General features: G+C 38.1%; 1 protein-coding gene across 14 annotated transcripts in view; it reads left to right on the top strand.

Moving 5' to 3' along the window:
* Positions 1–8,086, top strand: part of ANKRD31 (ankyrin repeat domain 31) — a 168,582-nt gene extending 160,496 nt beyond the window's left edge. For all 14 annotated transcript variants that reach the window (NM_001164443.1, NM_001372053.1, XM_017009319.2 and 11 more), the window contains one exon: positions 7,719–8,086. In NM_001164443.1, the coding sequence (NP_001157915.1) occupies positions 7,719–7,864 (146 nt within the window). In that variant the 3' untranslated portion in view covers positions 7,865–8,086. The remainder of the gene's footprint in view (positions 1–7,718) is intronic.

The raw sequence follows: 17,970 nt of genomic DNA, 5'->3' as shown, positions 1-17,970 counted from the left end.
TCTGTGAGTCATTCTATCCAATTATTGAAACTTGGGGTGGGGTAGAGGCACTATGGAAACCCTCTAATTTGTAGACAAGTTAGATAGAATTGTGGGCAACCCAGTAACTGATATCTGCAACTGGTGTCTGAAGTGAGGGCAGTTGTGTGAGACTGAACCCTTAAACCTGTGGAATCTGAGGTTAACTACAGTTAATTAGTGTCAGAATTAAATTGAATTGTAGGACAGTTGATTGGTTGGACCAGCGGTTAGTGTGAGGAAAAAAGTCCGCACATTTGGTGTCAAAGTGTCATGAGTAAAAATATCTCATTAGAATAAATATATATATATATTCAGAGTAAGCAATGTTTCATTCCATAACCCTAATGAGATATAGAGTGCTTAATATGTAAGAACAAGTCCGGGAAGACTGAGTTCAAAAATTTTAGACTTAAAAGTGAACCTCGTGTATCAACTACTCTTGGGCCTGTTTGGTGAAATATCTTTCCATGGGACAGTAATAATTACTAATGGATCCAGAGTAAAACATCCTATAAATGATATTGAACATTTTACATGCAACATCTAAATCTTGATACTTCATTTCCTCTGTCACCCTCCTCCCCTCAACATTACTGTCAGAGCTAAAGTGGAAGCAAAACTAGTGTTGGAAAGCTTTCAGTCTTTTTAGGTGTCTTTATCTGTTCCCATCTCTCTTCACTGGCCCAAAGCTTGGTGGGAGTAGTTTTAAGGGCTAAAGTAAGGGTATGGTTGGATTGGTGGTGAAATTTTGCTCACTTTTCTTTTATATTTAAACTTCCTGTATTTTATACAACCTATTAAGTTCCTAATAAGTAACAGTGAGTATATTGAGTATTATAATTGAATTATTAAATCAAGAAGATAAAATTTAAGTCTCAGTTTCCTAACTTCTTAGGTTATTTCCCTTTCTTGTCTCGCATGCTTTGTATTAAAGTATCAAAAAGTGCTAGGCAATTGTGCAATATTATAAAAGCAGATAAATAAATTTTAGAAGGATAAGATAAACTCTGGATTGTTATCATTGGTTACCTGGGCAGGAAGGAGAGGTGGAACAAGGAGAGGGTGGGGAAAACCATACCCATAGGCCATACCTGGAGCATGTACAAAAGTGAAACCCTAAAATCTCAGTAATAGAATCCTTGAAACCAGAAGGAAACATCCCAGGATAAACTGAGGAGTGAGCACAGACTGGGGCTTACAGAAGAACATCTCCATTCTAGAACTGTGTCTTTGGCTGCAGTAGTTACAGGTTATTATTTATTTCTCAGAAGACTGATAATAGAACTCATAATACATTTTACTTATTTAAGGTAGGTGTAATAAACTGCATATATGTTGTGATTTTTAAGAAAAGAAAAAGCAAACAATTTTTAAAAATATTATTACATACTGGTATTTGTGCTTTTGTGTAGAAATATATAGACATGGAGCAAAGGTTTGTTCAAGTTTTAAAAAGGAAGAAGCTAGGGAGGTTCTTTAGCTCTAACTTTGCTGAATGTTATTTTCCTGAAATGATTCAAATAATTTTAATGCTCTTATATAATAAAATAACCTGGAAATGTTATTAAAAATTCAAACAGAACAAAAATTTGAAATCAGTTTGCTGTATCTTTACCTTTACTTTAAAAAAAAATCTTTTATTTTAGGTTCAGGGGTACATGTGCATGTTTGTTACATATGTAAACTAATAACCCAGATGTTTGGTGTACAGATTATTTTGTCAACCAGGTACTGTATTCTTACATTTACTTAAATGGGGATTAGCCTATTTGGCTCAGTTGGGGATTATCCTAGTCGGCTCAGATTTCTCTATGTGTGTGTTTTTTGTTTTGTTGGTTTTCCACTCACATATATAGGGTATTTTCTTGTGGATCTCAACAAAGAAAATTTGAAGTTGGCAGTAGTGGTTAGCCAAAAGTGCAGGTTCCTGCTAAAGTACATAGTATGGGACAGCACTGGCTGGAATGAAATGGGTAGGGAATGCTATGGTGGAAGGAGTTTAGGGAGACCTAGTGCAGTAGAGGAGAAGGAGCAGAAAAGATTAAGATGATGAGAACAAGTGTGTTGTAAGGATGATCTTTCTTTTTCTTCCATTCTTATCACTATGGAAAGGAAACTGTTCTGTAAGAAACTATTGGTGGCCTTAACACTATGCTTTGTGATCTGACATGCATGTTCTCAGAGCTTCATTTCCATGGGTTTACCCTGGAAGTGCCGCCTTCTGCTACTGAGGAGCCAGCCACTTGTAATTTCCTAAAGTCCTATGATTATAGGAAATTGAGAAGTATATGTATGCTGACAGTGAACTTGAGTGGAGTTGGGGATGGGATTTTGACTGCCATGCCTGTAGAATACTAAAACAAGCTGGAATATAAACTATATAAGTCTTATGGCTGTACTAGCCATTCATGGCTAACCTGTTGAGAAAGATATAAATCAAAACCATGATACCCTATTGACTTTAGTAATAAAGTCAGCCCTGCTTTAAAAAAAATTTTTTAAAAAGAGGAGGTGGGCCTAAAATGGCCCTATTCTGTTAATTCATTGCAGTTTTTAAGGGAGAGAGAGACCAGGTTTATCTCCAAGCAAAGCTAGTTTAGAATACAAAGTATTATTGACTAACACTTTACAGTTTTACAGAAAGCTTTCACATTATGTGGTATTTTCTCATTTGACAAAGATCAGTGATGGGAATGGTAAGGCAAAAGGAAAAAAAGGTTTAACATTAGCATTTTTAAATTGAAAACTCCACTTCCAGAAATTACTAAGCTAACAAATGTCCATAAGAAAGCACTGTTTTCCAAACAATTTTGTTATATCATCTCAAGCCTCCCAAGCTCAAGCCACTTTATTTTCAGTGTATTAATTGAGAAGATGGGCATGTTGCTGCCTCTGGAGCCACTGCCTACTATTCTGTACTTTGGATGGTGATCTTCTCTGTGTAAACAACATAGTGATGATTTCTTATTTAAAATAAGATGAAGCTCACCTTATTTGAAGTGTGTCTGGTCCTCCCTTTAAAACAAGCACTTTTATTTAGGCCTGTGACTTTTTTTTTTTTTTAAGAGATGGAGTCTTACTTTCTCACCCAAGCTGGAGTGCAGTGGCAGGATCATAGCTCACTGCAGCCTCAAACTCCTGGGCTCAAGTGATCCTCCCATCTCAGCCTCCCAAGTAGCTTGGATTATAGGCTTGAGCCACTGCACTTGGCTAGGCCTGTAACTTTTGTAGCAAGACTTCCCTTTTGGAGAGAAATGCTAGGGTTTATGCCCACAAGTCCACCTTGCTCTGATTTTTCCCAACTTTTCCCAAGTTAACATGTGGCTGCATCATCTCAAGAGGATCAAATGAGATGAAAAGTTCCTAAAACAATCACTGTGGAACAATAGGAATTATCGTAGTTATAAAGATGGCTGCATTTATATATCAGGTCTTACACTCCAACATCCTAATACCAATACCTTAACGTATGGATATTTCTGTGTGTATTCATCTTTTCAGCCATCTATTCATCTGCCCTCATGTATTGGAAGTTTTGTAATATCGTTATTGTAGTAAAAATGATACCAAAATTGGCATATTTTGTGGAGCTTGTATTTTTTCATATCATGATCCTCTACGTGCTTAAATATTCGTGATCTCTCTGTGCCTCCAAAGAGAAAGCCCCAAGGTAGACTTAGTGGTCTTTGCAGAAATATCCCATCTACTTCTTAGAGTTCAAAAGTTCTGTATTATGTAAGATTAGGTTTGGCTGCATGCAACAGAAAACCCCAAATAGCAGTGGTTTCAACACACAAAGATTTAGTCGTTCATTAGAAGTCTGGATCCGTAGCATTCCAGATGAGGCACAGCAGCAACACAGAGTCACCAAGTCTTTCTACTCCATCTTCCTTTGTACTGGTTTACATCTTGAAGTAAACTCATGGTCCAAAATAGCTATGAATCTCTAGCCATCACATCTGCATTCTAGGCATTAGGAATAAGGAAAGTAGGGAGGCAAAAAAAAAAGGGCTTCCTAGCTGTCTGTCCCCTTAAGGAGCCTCCCCTGAAGTCAAACACAACACTTTGATTTATATCTCTTTAGCCAGAGTTTAGTCATATGCCACACCTAGCTGCAAAGAAGTCTGAAAAATATAGTTTTTCTGTGTGACACATTGCCTATGATTGTTAATGAGGAGAAAAACAAAAAGGCAAAAATAGAGGTAACTAATAGCCTCTGCCAAAAGTCCTTTTTAGGAAGCTATAAAATAATAGTTAATGTCAATTTAGACAAAGTAAATTGTATTGGGTAATCTGGCACATTGTAGGAAACTTTACATTGAAAATTCACACAGTGGATTCACAACAGGATAATGTGGTTGGAGTCATGCTGGCTATGAAGGAGTAAAGACTATAAGAGAGCACAAGTGTAAAGTGATGGGGCTTTGTGTGTACCCTCTTAGCTAGAGGCCTCCCTGCTCTGCACCTTTGGCACCACGTCTAGGAACTGCCAGTGCCATGGTGTCAAAAGATTCCTGCCCTATCCCTAATCATTTCTGCTATGCTTTATTAAGAACAGTTTTTCGGCCGGGCGCGGTGGCTCATACCTGTAATCCGAGCACTTTGGGAGGCCGAGGTGGGCAGATCACCTGAGGTCAGGAGTTCAAGACCAGCCTGGCCAACATGGTGAAACCCCATCTCCACTAAAACTACAAAAAAATTAGCCGGGCGTGGTGGTGGGTGCCTGTAATCCCAGCTACTTAGAAGGCTGAGGCAAGAGCATTGCTTGAACCTGGGAGGCAGAGGTCGCAGTGAGTTGAGATTGCACTATTGTACTCCAGGCTGGGTGACAAGACCGAGACTCCACCTCAAAAAAAAAAAAAAACAAAACAGCTTTTCTCAGATGTCAGTTAAACTGTGCTTGAATTAGGCATTATGATCTTGTTGATTTTGCTGGCAGTTTCATATAACATTGTGGAAAGTGGTAATAAGAAGTATTGCAGCTACTTCCAGCAGTCATTTCAATGTGTTGCTAAATAATGATATATGTTTTTAAATATTAAATATTATTAAATATTAAATATTATTAAAATATTAAATATTATTAAAATATTTAATATTTTGAAAAGTTACAAAAATGAGTTACCTCAAAACTTCATTTTAGTCTTCATAGAATAAGAACTATAAGCAGTGATTCTCTAAAGCAGTGGCTGAATTAAATATTTAAGTGTATAGATACTTCAGAGCTGTTACCAAAACATGAGCTTTTAACTGTGTTTTACTTGGAACACTAGATTTAAGGAAACATTTACGCTCCACTGAAGGTGACAAGTGAACTAAGGAATACAGTTTTGGAACAGAATTTTGATACATACAGATATTAAATTCCTGACCTAATTAGCTCCATGCTCTGATTAATATTTGACCAAATCAATGCAGACAAATTTTGTTTTATAGGGACAAGATCTCACTATGTTGCCCAGGTTGGCCTTGAACTCCTGACCTCAGGTGACCCACCCATCTTGGCCTCCCAAAGTACTGGGATTACAGGCATGATCCACTATGCCCAGCCCCAGACAAAATTTTTAATAGACACTTTCCTAGTCCTAGGAACTTTAATGGATGCTAAGTATATGAAAGATGCTTATGCTAAATACTAATCAGGAAGATGCCCGTGAAAATAGTAGACAAATTTTTCTACCATCAGAATGGCAAAACTTAAAAAGACTGATAATATTCAGTATTGGCAAAGATGTGGAAGAAAAGAACAGGTACTGTCACACATAGTCTCATAATACTGTTGGTGGTAGTATAAAAGGATGCACTTGGGAGGGCACTCTGGCAGAACCTCTTAAAATGTAAAATGTTTACAGACCCCTCAACTCAGTAATTCTGCTTCTGAGTATCAATCCTATAGAAGTATTGGCACATGCCTGAATAGTGAAAAGTGAGGAATAAATTATGAATTATAAACAAATTATGGTAGATGCATTAAGTTTTTCAAATCATAACTAAAGTGGGGGATAGTATCTTATAGAGGAAAAGACCAGTGTTAAATAATAGTGTTTAAATGATGAAACTAGGCTAATTTTGATGAAAAGAATTTAAATTAATATGTAAAGATTTATTTCTATGGGTTTTTCCTAAGAAAAAAATATTCCTTAACTTTTATGAGATACCTTGTTTCCGGAAGTCTATAAAACAAAGCTCCTAATAAAGGAGTTACTATGTTTACATATGGACCATGTGTAAAAAAGTTTAAATTCTTTGGATTATAAGTGATGATTTAAAACCCACATCAGACCGGCCTCAACCCCTCAAAAAGGAATTTTATTGACTCATTTACATGAAAGACCAGGAACAGATCTTCAGGTTTCATTCAGGGTTCAAAGAGCATGACAGAGCACCAGTTTCTCTTGCTTTCCATTTCTCAGCTCCATTTCCTCATTTTGGCGCCATCCTAATAGCCTTTCTTCTCATCATCCCAGGGCTACATGCTTCCAGGTTCAAGTCTAAAAAAGAAGACTCTGTATGTGACTCTTTGCCAAAATACCCAATAAAAATCTCATTGCACTTTGGGAGGCTGAGGCGGGTGGATCACCTGAGGTCAGGAGTTGGAGACCAGCCTGACCAACATGGCGAAACCCCATCTCTACTAAAGATACAAAAATTAGCTGGGTGTGGTGGTAGGCACCTATAATCCCAGCTACTTGGGAGGCTGAGGCAGGAGAATCACTTGAACCTCGGAGGCAGAGGTTGCACTGAGCCAAGGTCATGCTATTGCACTCCAGCCTGTGCAACAGAGTGAGACTCCATCTCAAAAAAAAAACCAAAAAACAAAAACAAAAACAAAAAACTCATTACATGTCACTTCTCTCTGAATGGGATATGTTCTGACCCCTGAATCTATACCTGTTCACTCATTGGTGTAGATCTAAGCAAATCAGGAGGTTGAAAACAACTCTACCAGAAGCATGTGGGCCAAGCATGAAGAAAGGGTTGGCCATACAGAGGTGACACTCATATTGTTGCTATCTGTGGAATAAGATTCAACTTGCTGAATGATGTACAGCTCATATAGCCAATCTCAGAGAAGAAAAAAAAAAATCTCTCAGACTGTCAGGGAGCTTGAAGAAACCAGTTTTAGGACCATTAGCCCCATAGACTGGCAGAGCCAAAAGGAACCCTCTTTATCATCACTCCTCTCACATCTCAGAGATGGAAGTCTGGAAAAGCCATATGACTTGCTTGAGATCACACACCAAGTTTGTGGCAGAGGCAGGACTAGAAATCATGCAGCCTAATACTCTTTTTAGTACTAAATAATAATAGCGTCTAGTATTTATTGTTTGCTATATGCCCGGCGGTATGCTAAGAATTTCACATGCAAAATCTCAGTTAATACAACTGTTTTATTCTCCGTTTATTGGAAATTGAGGCAGAGAGGAGCTTGTACCACTACCTTCAGAAGCTTCCACCATCCTTTTTCTGCTGATGTTTTAGACTTCAAACAGGCCCCTCTTTCCCAAGATCAACCAATGCTGGTTCATAGCTTTGTCTTGAGTACAGAAAATAGGTTGAGGGAAAAGGTCCTGATCAGAAAACCTGTTATGTGTGCTCTCAAATAGACTTGATTGGATTCTAGGATTTGTAATAGCAAAATTTACATCTTAAATTTCAGAGGGCAGTTTTTAATTTGTTGATACTTCTTTAAACAGGAACTTCCAGAGAGTCAATGCAAAGCAGCCCACGTTATCTACAAATAAATGAAATACTATTAATCAGTGATCAAGAATTTCTCCCATGCCACATAATGGATCAGCATTGGAAGTTTTGTGTGGAATGTGAGGAACTAACACCCTAAAACCTTGGTTTCTTAATATTTTATTGGATATTTGTTCAAATTACCAACAAACATTTATATTTCATCTTGTATAATCTGGTGGGCCTATTTTAACATACACTTTATGAGTTGCTATTTAGGATGTATGTTTACTGTTCTTAAGATGTATGTAACTGTTCAACAATTATATAAGATTAATGCTTTTTTGCCATTGAAATAAAGGCACATTTGAACTAGACCATATTGATTGGCTCTCTGGCTTTCTTTTTACTAATATAAACTTAAAACTAACTTTTCAATCAACACCTCTACCTTTGTATAAAAAACAATTGATCCCTAAGGAAATGAGGATACAAGTAAGTGTAATCCATGGATAATTGGTCCTAAAAAGGCCCAGGTTAAACAAATCCCTTAAGAACTTAAAGTCCTAATACCTTTCACATTTCCTTTGAAGTTTTTCTCAAAATCAAAATGTAAAATTATGAAGGAGGTTTAAGTTTCATAAAATTTAGTGTAGATAGGATTGTAGCTGTGGTAAGTCTTGGAACAAAGAATGAATCAAGTGTTGATTTGGAGTCTGATCATTTAAAATAGAACATCCTTCACCTTTGACTTTTGCTACATTATCACGAAGACTTTTTTTAAAAAAAAGAGATATATTTAAGAGATTTTTCAGTTTTCTCAAGGGTCTCTCTTAATCCTTTGATAGCCAAGTTACTCTTTCCTTGTCCTTCATTACCCCAGGTTCCCAAATAAGCTTTTGGCTCCATGGCCTTATTTATCCCTTCTATTTCTTTTGAGTATAGAAGTCAAAATTGCAATAAACATAACAGGCATACCTCAGAGATACTGCAGGTTTACTTCCAGACTACTGCAGTAAAGCGAATGTCAACTAAAGGGAGTCACGTGATTTTTTTTCCCCCAGTTTCTATAAAAGTTATGTTTACACTATACTGTAGTCTATTAAGTGTGTAAAGGCATATCTTAATCAATGTATGTACCTTAATTTAAGAATATTACTAAAAAATATGAGCATCTGAGCCTTCCGCAGGTTGTAATCTTTTTGGTGGTAGAGGGTCTTGCCTTGATGTTGATGGCTGCTGCCCAATCATGGTGGTGGTTGCTGAAGGTTGAGGTAGCTGTGGCAATTTCTTAAAATAAGACAACAATGAAATTTGCCACATCAATAGTCTCTTTCTCTCATGAAAGATTTATGTGTAGCATGCATTGCTTTTCAATAGCATTTTACCCACAGTAAAACTTCTTTGAAAATCGGAGTCAATCCTCTTACACCCTGCTGCTGCTTTATCATCTAAGTTTATAGAATATTCTAAATCCTTTGTTGTCATTTTAGCAGTGTTCACATCACCACACCAGGAGTAGATTTTGTCTCAAGAAACCACTTTCTTTGCTCATTCGTAAGAAGCAACTCCTTTTCCATTCAAGTTTGATCATGAGATTTCAACAATTCAGTCACATCTTCAGGCTCCACTTCTAATTCTAGTTGTCTTGCTATTTCCACCACATTTGCAGTTGCTTCCTGTACTAAAGTCTTAAACCCCTCAAAGTCATCCATGAGGATTGGAATCAACTTCTTCCAAACTCCTGTTAAGGTTGATATTTTGATCTCCCATGAATCACAGATGTTCTTAATGGCATCTAGAATGGTGAATTCTTTCCAGAAGGTTTTCAATTTATTTTGCCCAGATCAAAGGAATCACTATCTATGGCAGCTGTAGCCTTACAAAATATATTTCTTAAATAATAAGACTTGAAAGTCAAAAGTACTCCAGTAATATTTTGAAAGAAATCTTTTATTCTGAGCTGTACATCTCAACAGTGGGCTTTAAATATTCAGTAAATCATGCTGTAAACAAACAAATGTGCTGTCATCTAAGCTTTATTGTTCCAATTCTAGGGTACAGGCAGAGTAGATTTTGCACAGGGCTCTAGATTTTCAGAATGGTACATGAGAATTGGTTTCAACATAAAGTCACCAGTTGCATTAGTCCCTAACAAGAGTCAACCTGTCTTTTGAAGCTTTGAAACCAGGCATTGACTTCTTCTCTTTAGCTCTAACAGTCCTACATGGCATCTTCTTCCAACAGAAGGCTGATTAATCTATAATGAAAATCTGTTTAGTACAGCCACCTTCATCAATAATCTAGCCAGGTCTTCTCGATGATTTACTGCAACATCTACATCAGCACGTGCTGCTTCACCTTGCATTTGTATTGTAGAGACAGCTTCTTTCTTTAAATTTCATGAACCAGCCTCTGCCAGCTTCAAACTTTTCTTCTGCAGCTTCCTCACCTCTCTCAGCCTTCATGAATTGGAGTTAGGGCCTTGCTCTGGATTAGGTTTTGGCTTAAAGGAATGTTGTGGCCAGTTTGATCTTCTATCCAGACAACTCAAACTTTATCTCAGCAATAAGGCTGCTTTGCTTTCTTATCATTTGTGTGTTCACTGAAGTAACACTTTTAATTTCCTTCAAGAACTCTTCCTTTGCATTCACAACTTACCTAACAGTTTGATGCAAGAGACCTAGCTTTAGGCATATCCCAGCTTTCAATATGCCTTCTTCACTAAGCTTAATCATTTCTAGCTTTTGATTTAAAGTGAGAGGTGTGCAACTCTTTCTTTCACTTGAATACTTAGGCCATTATAGGGTTACTAACTGGCCTAACTTCAATATTGTCGGAACAAAACAACTATAATAATAACATCGAAGATCATTGCTCACAGATTATCATATCAGATATAATAATAACAAAAAAGTTAGAAATATTTTGAGAATTACCCACATGTGACACAGACACGAAGTGAGCACGTGCTGTTGGAAAAACTGGTGCTGATAGACTTGCTCAATGCAGGGTTGCCACAAACCTTCAATTTGTAAAAAAAAAAAAAAAAAAAAAGATAATATCTGCAAAGTGCAATAAAATGAGGTGTGCCTGCTCTCATGCAAGTCCAGTGATTTTGGTGGGTGGTGATATGGTGTTGCTTTTTGAATATTTTCTTATTTTAAACGTATAGAACATTAAGATACATCTTTAGAATATATAAGAAACTGCTTAACAGTGGCCTCTGGAGAAATAAATTACGGGGCTGGAGAACCAAGGAAAAAGACCTACTTTTGACTACATGTACCTGGAAATATTTGTCTATTAATAAAAGTGTAAGGACATATTAAATCATTTTATTTTTCTTCCTTCAAGAGTCCAATGCAAATGTTCAGGATAGAATAACCCTACATATTGTTATATTTGAGAACCAACAGAAAATTATATTGTTTCACTATAATTTCCTTGGAGTGCCTGTTTTTCTAATTCTTAAATAATCTGTATGAGACTTTATTCTGTATTTTGCTTTATTATTTAAGATAATTAAAATATGAGCCATTTGAGAATATATGTACTAATTAAATTATATATATAAATAAAATGTAAATTTTTGGACAATGTTTAATGCAAGTACTGGCTTATTAAAGAAAAATTATATACCTTTGCATGCATAATATATACACATATACTGGTATATATGTAGATAAGGTATATTATATATGCATACTATATATAAATATATAATATATACTTTTTAATAAATAGCTCCAAAAATGTGTGTTTCTATGCGTGTGGGGTGGAGGTGGGGGTATGTTCAGTAAAAGTTCTAGAATGCTACAGATACAAATGTTTATAGTGCCTATCCCTAAGGAAGCTAGACTGAGGAGGATGAAAGGGTACTTTTATAGTTTACTTTCGACTTTAAGAAGAAATTAGGCACACATGTCTTTTGTAATTAAAAAAAATTTAAGATAATAATTTTTAAAACAGGCATTTTGTCTAGTGATTACAATCTATGAAAGTCATATATGCTAAGTTTTTAATACAAAAGATCTTGCAATTCTAAGTTTTCATTTTGGTGATTAAATTCTTAATTTCCCAAGCCCTTTTACTCTATTTTATATACCAACTGGTGACTGAAATAACATCCATTGCCCTTCAGGCATGCTGAGCATTGCCCAAACTAAACAACAAAAGGGTCTACTCCAACCAGAGTTGGAGAGAACTACCTTACCCTAGATTATCTCTGTGAGAAGACTGGGCAATTTAGGATGTTAGCTACATGTTTTACCTACTCTGGATTCTAAATGAAAGCTTAGGCTTCTGACCCTAAACCATAGATGAAAAATATCTAATCAATCTCATACGTGGTATTTTTATCCTTTTTATAAAACTGATTTTTTGAACATCTCTGGAATACTCCATACCCAAAAAGGAAGCCTATTCCTTTTCAAACAGGTAGTCCTCAGTGTTAGAAAGCCGGAACCCCTATGTTCCAGGCCTCACAACTCTAAATGATAATACTTCTTTTTTTTACAAGCTGAATTATTATGGCACAGCTTCCACTGGCTTGGCTGTTGGAAGATTCTAAACATACATTGCTATGGCTTCGTGGTTCCCTCTGAAACTCATGCTGAAACTTAATCCCCAATGTAGCAGTGGTGGGAGATGGAGCCTTTAAGAAATGACTGGGTCGCTGAGGCGGGCCGATCACGAGGTCAGGAGATTGAGACCATCCTAGCTAACAAAGTGAAACCTCGTCTCTACTAAAAATGCAAAAAATTAGCCAGGCGTGGTGGTGGGTGCCTGTAGTCCCAGCTACTAAGGAGGCTGAAGCAAGAGAATGGTGTGAACCTGGGAGGCGGGGCTTACAGTGAGCCGAGATCGTGCCACTGCACTCCAGCCTGGACGACAGAGCGAAGCTCCCTCTCCAAAAAAAAAAAAAAAAAAAGTGACTGGGTCATGAGGGCCAGGCCTCATAAACAATAAATTAATTAATTTTTTCATGAGTTAATGGATTAATGGGTTATAATGGGAGTGGGTTAGTTATCACAAAAGTGGGCCTGTATAAAAAGCCAGGTTGGCTCTCTCTGGTCAACTCCCCTGCCTTGTGATGATGCCCTGCACTGCCTCGGGGCTCCAGAGAGTCCCCACCAGCAAGAAGCCTCTCATCAGATGTGGCCCTGAGACCACGGATTTCCCAGCCTCCAGAACAAGAAAACCAAATTTATTTTCTTTATAAATAGCCCAGTCTCAGGTATTCAGTTATAGCAACAGAAAATAGACTAAAACATACATCTTGTCTTTTCCTTCTCAGTTTCTCTTTCATTCAATCCCTTCAACTTCCTCTCCTGAGTTCAGTTCTTATCAGTGCCTGTCTGGACTATATGCAGCAGCAATCCTAACCCATTTTTCATACTCCCACTCTTTCCCTTATTATACACCTGTGACACACTGCTGCCAAATTATTCTTCTTAAAGATCTATGTTGCTTCCCTGCTGCTGCAAAAGTAAAATCTAGGCCCAGTATTCAAGATTACCTAACTATCTGGCCCTAACATAACCTTTCAACTTTACCTCCCAATGCTCTCTAACCTTTGACCTTAAACTCCCTTTTCATTTCTGTTATGGGCTGAATTTTGTACCCCAAAAATTCATATTTTGAAGTCCTAACCCCTAGTACCTCAGACTATGACTGTATTTTAAAGATAAGATAAATTACAATAAGGTCATTGGGGGGGGCTCTAATCCAATCTGACTGATATCCGTATAAGAAGAAAAAATTGGGACACACAAAGGAACACCAGGATACATGCACACAGATAAAAGATCATGTAAGGACACAACAAAAAGGCAGCCATCTACAAACCAGGGAGAGAGGCCTCAGAATGAAATCAACCATGTGGACATTTTGACCTTGGATTTCACACCTCCAGAACTCTGAGAAATAAACTTGTTTTAAGCTACCCATTTTGTGGTATTTTGTTATGGCAACCCTAGCAAACTAATCCCTAACTCTCCCCTACATTTGTTTACACTATTTCCCCTACTTAGAATGTTCCCTCCTCTCTTTGCCCATCTGTGTTTTTCTTATTCTTTGAGGCCTCTCCTCAGATATGACCACCTGTGTTGCTTTCTCAGACCATCCCAATCCAAGCACTTAACATTTACTGCATGGCTATATTAGACTTTTCTCACATTGCAATAAATAAATAACCGAGACTTGGTAATTTATAAAGAAAAGAGGTTTAATTGGCTCACGTTTCCGCAGGCTGTACAGGAAGCATGATTCTGGCCATCTGCTTGGCTTCTGGGGAGGCCTTGGGAAACTTATAATCATGGCAGAAGGCAAAGGGTAAGCAGGCATGTCTTACGTGGTGGGAGCAGGAGGAAGTGGGGGGAAGTGCCACACACTTTTAAACAACCAGATCTCATGAGAACTCTATCATGAGAACAGCATTAGGGGGATGGTACTAAACCATTATAAACCACCCCTATGATTCAGTCACCTACCACCAGACCCCACCTCCAACACTGGGGATTACAATTGAACATGAGATTTGGGTGGGGACACAGATCCAAACCATATCACTGACATTACTAGTTTTCTGTTTATGGTTTATCTACCTCATGTATCTGAAAAACTTATTGAGAACAGGTTCAGGGTTTTACACTTTGTATTCCCTATAAAATATCTTGAACATAGTAGGTGATCGAGAAATATCAACCAGTTAGTGTTTTCAGATACAACAACAGAAAACCCTACTCAAAATGGCATAAGCAATAAGGAAAATTTATCATTTCATTTAACAGATCCAGAGGCAGGAACTTCAGGGTTGATTAAGTCTTCAACTCAACAATGTCATTATTGTTTTCACAATTCTTCTTGGTCCCTTCACAGTGCCAAGATGGCTGTGCTGTTACAGGTTGTTATACATGTAGAAATAGCATCATTAGGATAAGGAATTAGACATTTTTTCCAAGACATTTATTTTGGAAAGAAACCTTCCCTGAACACACTCTAACCCCAGGAAACTTGTGTCTCATCGGCCAGAACTGTACCACCTACCATTCCTCTCTAGCCAGGGAAGTGGTGTTACCTTAATTGGTTGAGAGAAGTACATGCACATGTGCAGGTGAGCAGTCCGCTGCACAAATTCCAGACTCTGCCAGCTAAAAAACAAATAAGCAAGCAGAAACAAAATGGGGGAGGGAGGATGGAGGAGATTGGGGTAAGAGCTAATATTTATTGAGCACTTATATATACCAGTCATTGTTATAAGCACCTTTGATGTATTAACTCATTTAATCCTCACCACAACTTAAAAGGTGGGAGATTATTATTATCCCCATTTTGCACATGAGGTAGCAGGTGCAGGATGAAGTAATGTGACCACATAGCAACTACCAAATGGTGGAGCAGGGATTCGAACCTGGTAATCTGGCATCAGAGCTCATGCTGTTAGGCACTGTGTATGTCTCTTGCTCAACCAAAAGTATTTACCTGAAAATATACGTTAAATTATTAAAACAGTGTCAGAATCATTCTGAGTAATGGTGGCCCTATTGATTCCTTCCACTTATACATGCTGGGGAAGTCAACTTTTGCTCCCTTCGAATGAATGAAAGGCAGACAGGGCAGACAGAAATACTCATTGAGGGCCAAGCCTGGGTGGCTCACGTCTGTAATTTCAACCCTTTGGGAGGCTAAAGCAGAAGGATCGCTTGAGCCCAGGAATTCGAGGTTACAGTGAACTATGATTGCAACACTGTGCTCCAGCATGGGTGAGAGAGTGAGACCCTGTCTCTAAAAAGATAAACATAAACTCACTGAGAGAAAATGGAATGCAGAAGCCTCACTGATAAGTTCTAATATAAACACATTAGTACCTGCTCTTGAGTCTCTCTCTTTTCCAATCTAGCGCATTCCAGGAAAAAAAGAAAAAAAAAAGCTTTATTCAAATCTTATTCCATTCGAGATATTTCTCAAATTCAATGTGCACTGGGAACTAGCTTGTTGCTTTTAAGTGAATGTATGTGCCCAGTGGGCCTGGATTTTAAGTCCCTTTGGATTTTCTGTGCTATTGAAGGCCACGAGCACATCAGCTCTGCATGTGTTTCTTTGGAGTCCCTCTCCAATTTTTTTCTCATCTCATTTTGTTGAAGCCTATTTTAAGGAAACGAGGGACACATCTTTCTTAACATGTAAAAGCCAAGAAATGTGATTCATTTCTCCTTAAACTTCATTTTAATGTTCTTATGTCCCTAATTTTTTTTAGCCATCTAAATAAGAGGAACAGAATTTGAGGCCATGTCAAATCAACTTGCCTCAGACTTTAGCCCCTAGGTCAGGATTTGTGGTTAACTTCTCAATTCCTGGACATATTTTTAAGTTCCTATTTTTTTCTTTTGGGCTACGATGCTTTTTAAGCTTTAAAGTAGAAATGGTAGATGCAAACATTTGAAGCTGTAATGTCAATACTGGTATTCTAAAAGTTAAAAGCAGTTAACATTTATGTTTTTGGCTGTTCTCAAGACATCTTAAAGTTCCGTGACGTATGGCAGTTTGGCTGAGATATGAGGTTCTATGTTATCCTTCAAAGCTGGAGGCAAGGAAGTGGTAAGGCAAGTTGCCTAGCTGGTGGGTGAGCCTCACCAGTCACCTTACATCTTTATCTCAGCATAGCTTTTTTGTTCTCTGTTCCTTATTGCCTACACAGTAACTGTCATGAAATGATTAAATAGAGCAAAGTCAAAACTATTTTTCTTTGTGTAAAAATGGCCCCAAAAGAAATGCTGATGATGGAAATGAAAAGGTTTAAGAAAATGTGTCTTAGCCCCCACCCAAAATCCAGGATAAATAAAAAAAAATAGACAGTAAAATTTAGAAGAGCCCAGCTCTGTGACACAAATGACTTTATATGTAGTAATGCAAGCCCAGAGAGGCCCTAGCCCTCTGGAATTGTGGACCGTCTTTTCCTTTAGAAGCACTGTGGGATGACTTGAGCCTCGCAGTCCACTAACACCCCACTTTTAGTACCTCTACCCCATTTCTCTACATTTTCCCCAAGAAGTTACATTCTCCCACTATGGCTGCTTTTCTATGAAACTCTCCATCAGCCTGCCGGTCAGGTTGGTCCCTGGGCATTGCTGTCAGTCTCTAGTGCTGTCGCCACCTCCTCCATCCTTCTGCCTTATGCTAACCTCACCCCACCTGGTTCCTTTTTCCCCACAGCACCATCCATGCCAGCTGATGTGGAACAAGCTTTGCTTAAGGCTTGCTGGCAAAGAGGAAAGAATTATAGCACAACACAGCACAGCAAATAGCTTAAAATGACTGGACGTGACCTCTACCACAGAGAATTTCTCCTTGTTGACATTCTCTTCAGACCTGTTTTTGGCAGAGGATATGAGTATAAGTTCTAGGCTGACATCCCAGCTCTACCAATCCCTAGTCATAGAACCTTGTAATCCTCCCCAGTCTCATCCTATGTCTGTAAATGGGGCTGCCAATGTGCCTCCCTCCTACAGTTTTTGTGGGGGATTAAATGAGGTACTCTGTGCAAAGCAGGCATCACAGTGGCTGATACATAGTGACTGCTCAATAAATGATAGCTGTTGTTATTATGAAGATTATATGGGCCAGGCTCTCCTCTTTCTTTCTAAACCTCTAATTAGCAACACTGCGGCCTCTCTCTCTCTCTCTCCTCTCTGCCACCCACAAACACACACACACACACAAAGAAAAACAACTCCCTTATATCGAATACAGCAGAATCTTTGAGAATGAGTCTGAGCATCAGTAGTCCCAGGGACTAGGGTTTGAATGTGTTCTCCAAAGTTCATGTGTTGGAAACTTAATCCTCAATGCAACAGTGTTGAGAGGCGGAACCCTTAAGAGGTGATTACATCATGAGGGCTCTGCCTTGGGCTTTAATACCCTGCCCAAGTTTGCCCCCACCTAAGAGATTCTAATTTCATTGGTCTGGAGTGGGTATCAGTATTTTTAAAATCTCCTCCAGATAACTACAATGAACAGCCACTGACCTCTGCAACCTGCTGTTATCAATTCACTTTTCTTTCCCACCAACCCTCTATTACTGTAGTAATGCACGTTTCCCAGACAGTCCTATTAAAAGAATCACCTGGGATATGTCTTAAAACTATAGATTCCTGAGCCCCACTCTAGGCTTACTGAATCAGAACCTGCAGCAAATTTTTTTCCAAATGCCTAGATGAGTCTTATCAGGCAAATGTGAGGAGCATTAATCCAAGCTATCTTAGT

This window comes from Homo sapiens, chromosome 5, assembly GCF_000001405.40.
Source record: "Homo sapiens chromosome 5, GRCh38.p14 Primary Assembly".
In the NCBI taxonomy this organism is placed as follows: domain Eukaryota; kingdom Metazoa; phylum Chordata; class Mammalia; order Primates; family Hominidae; genus Homo; species Homo sapiens.
This window is presented reverse-complemented; position numbering and strand designations above follow the sequence as displayed.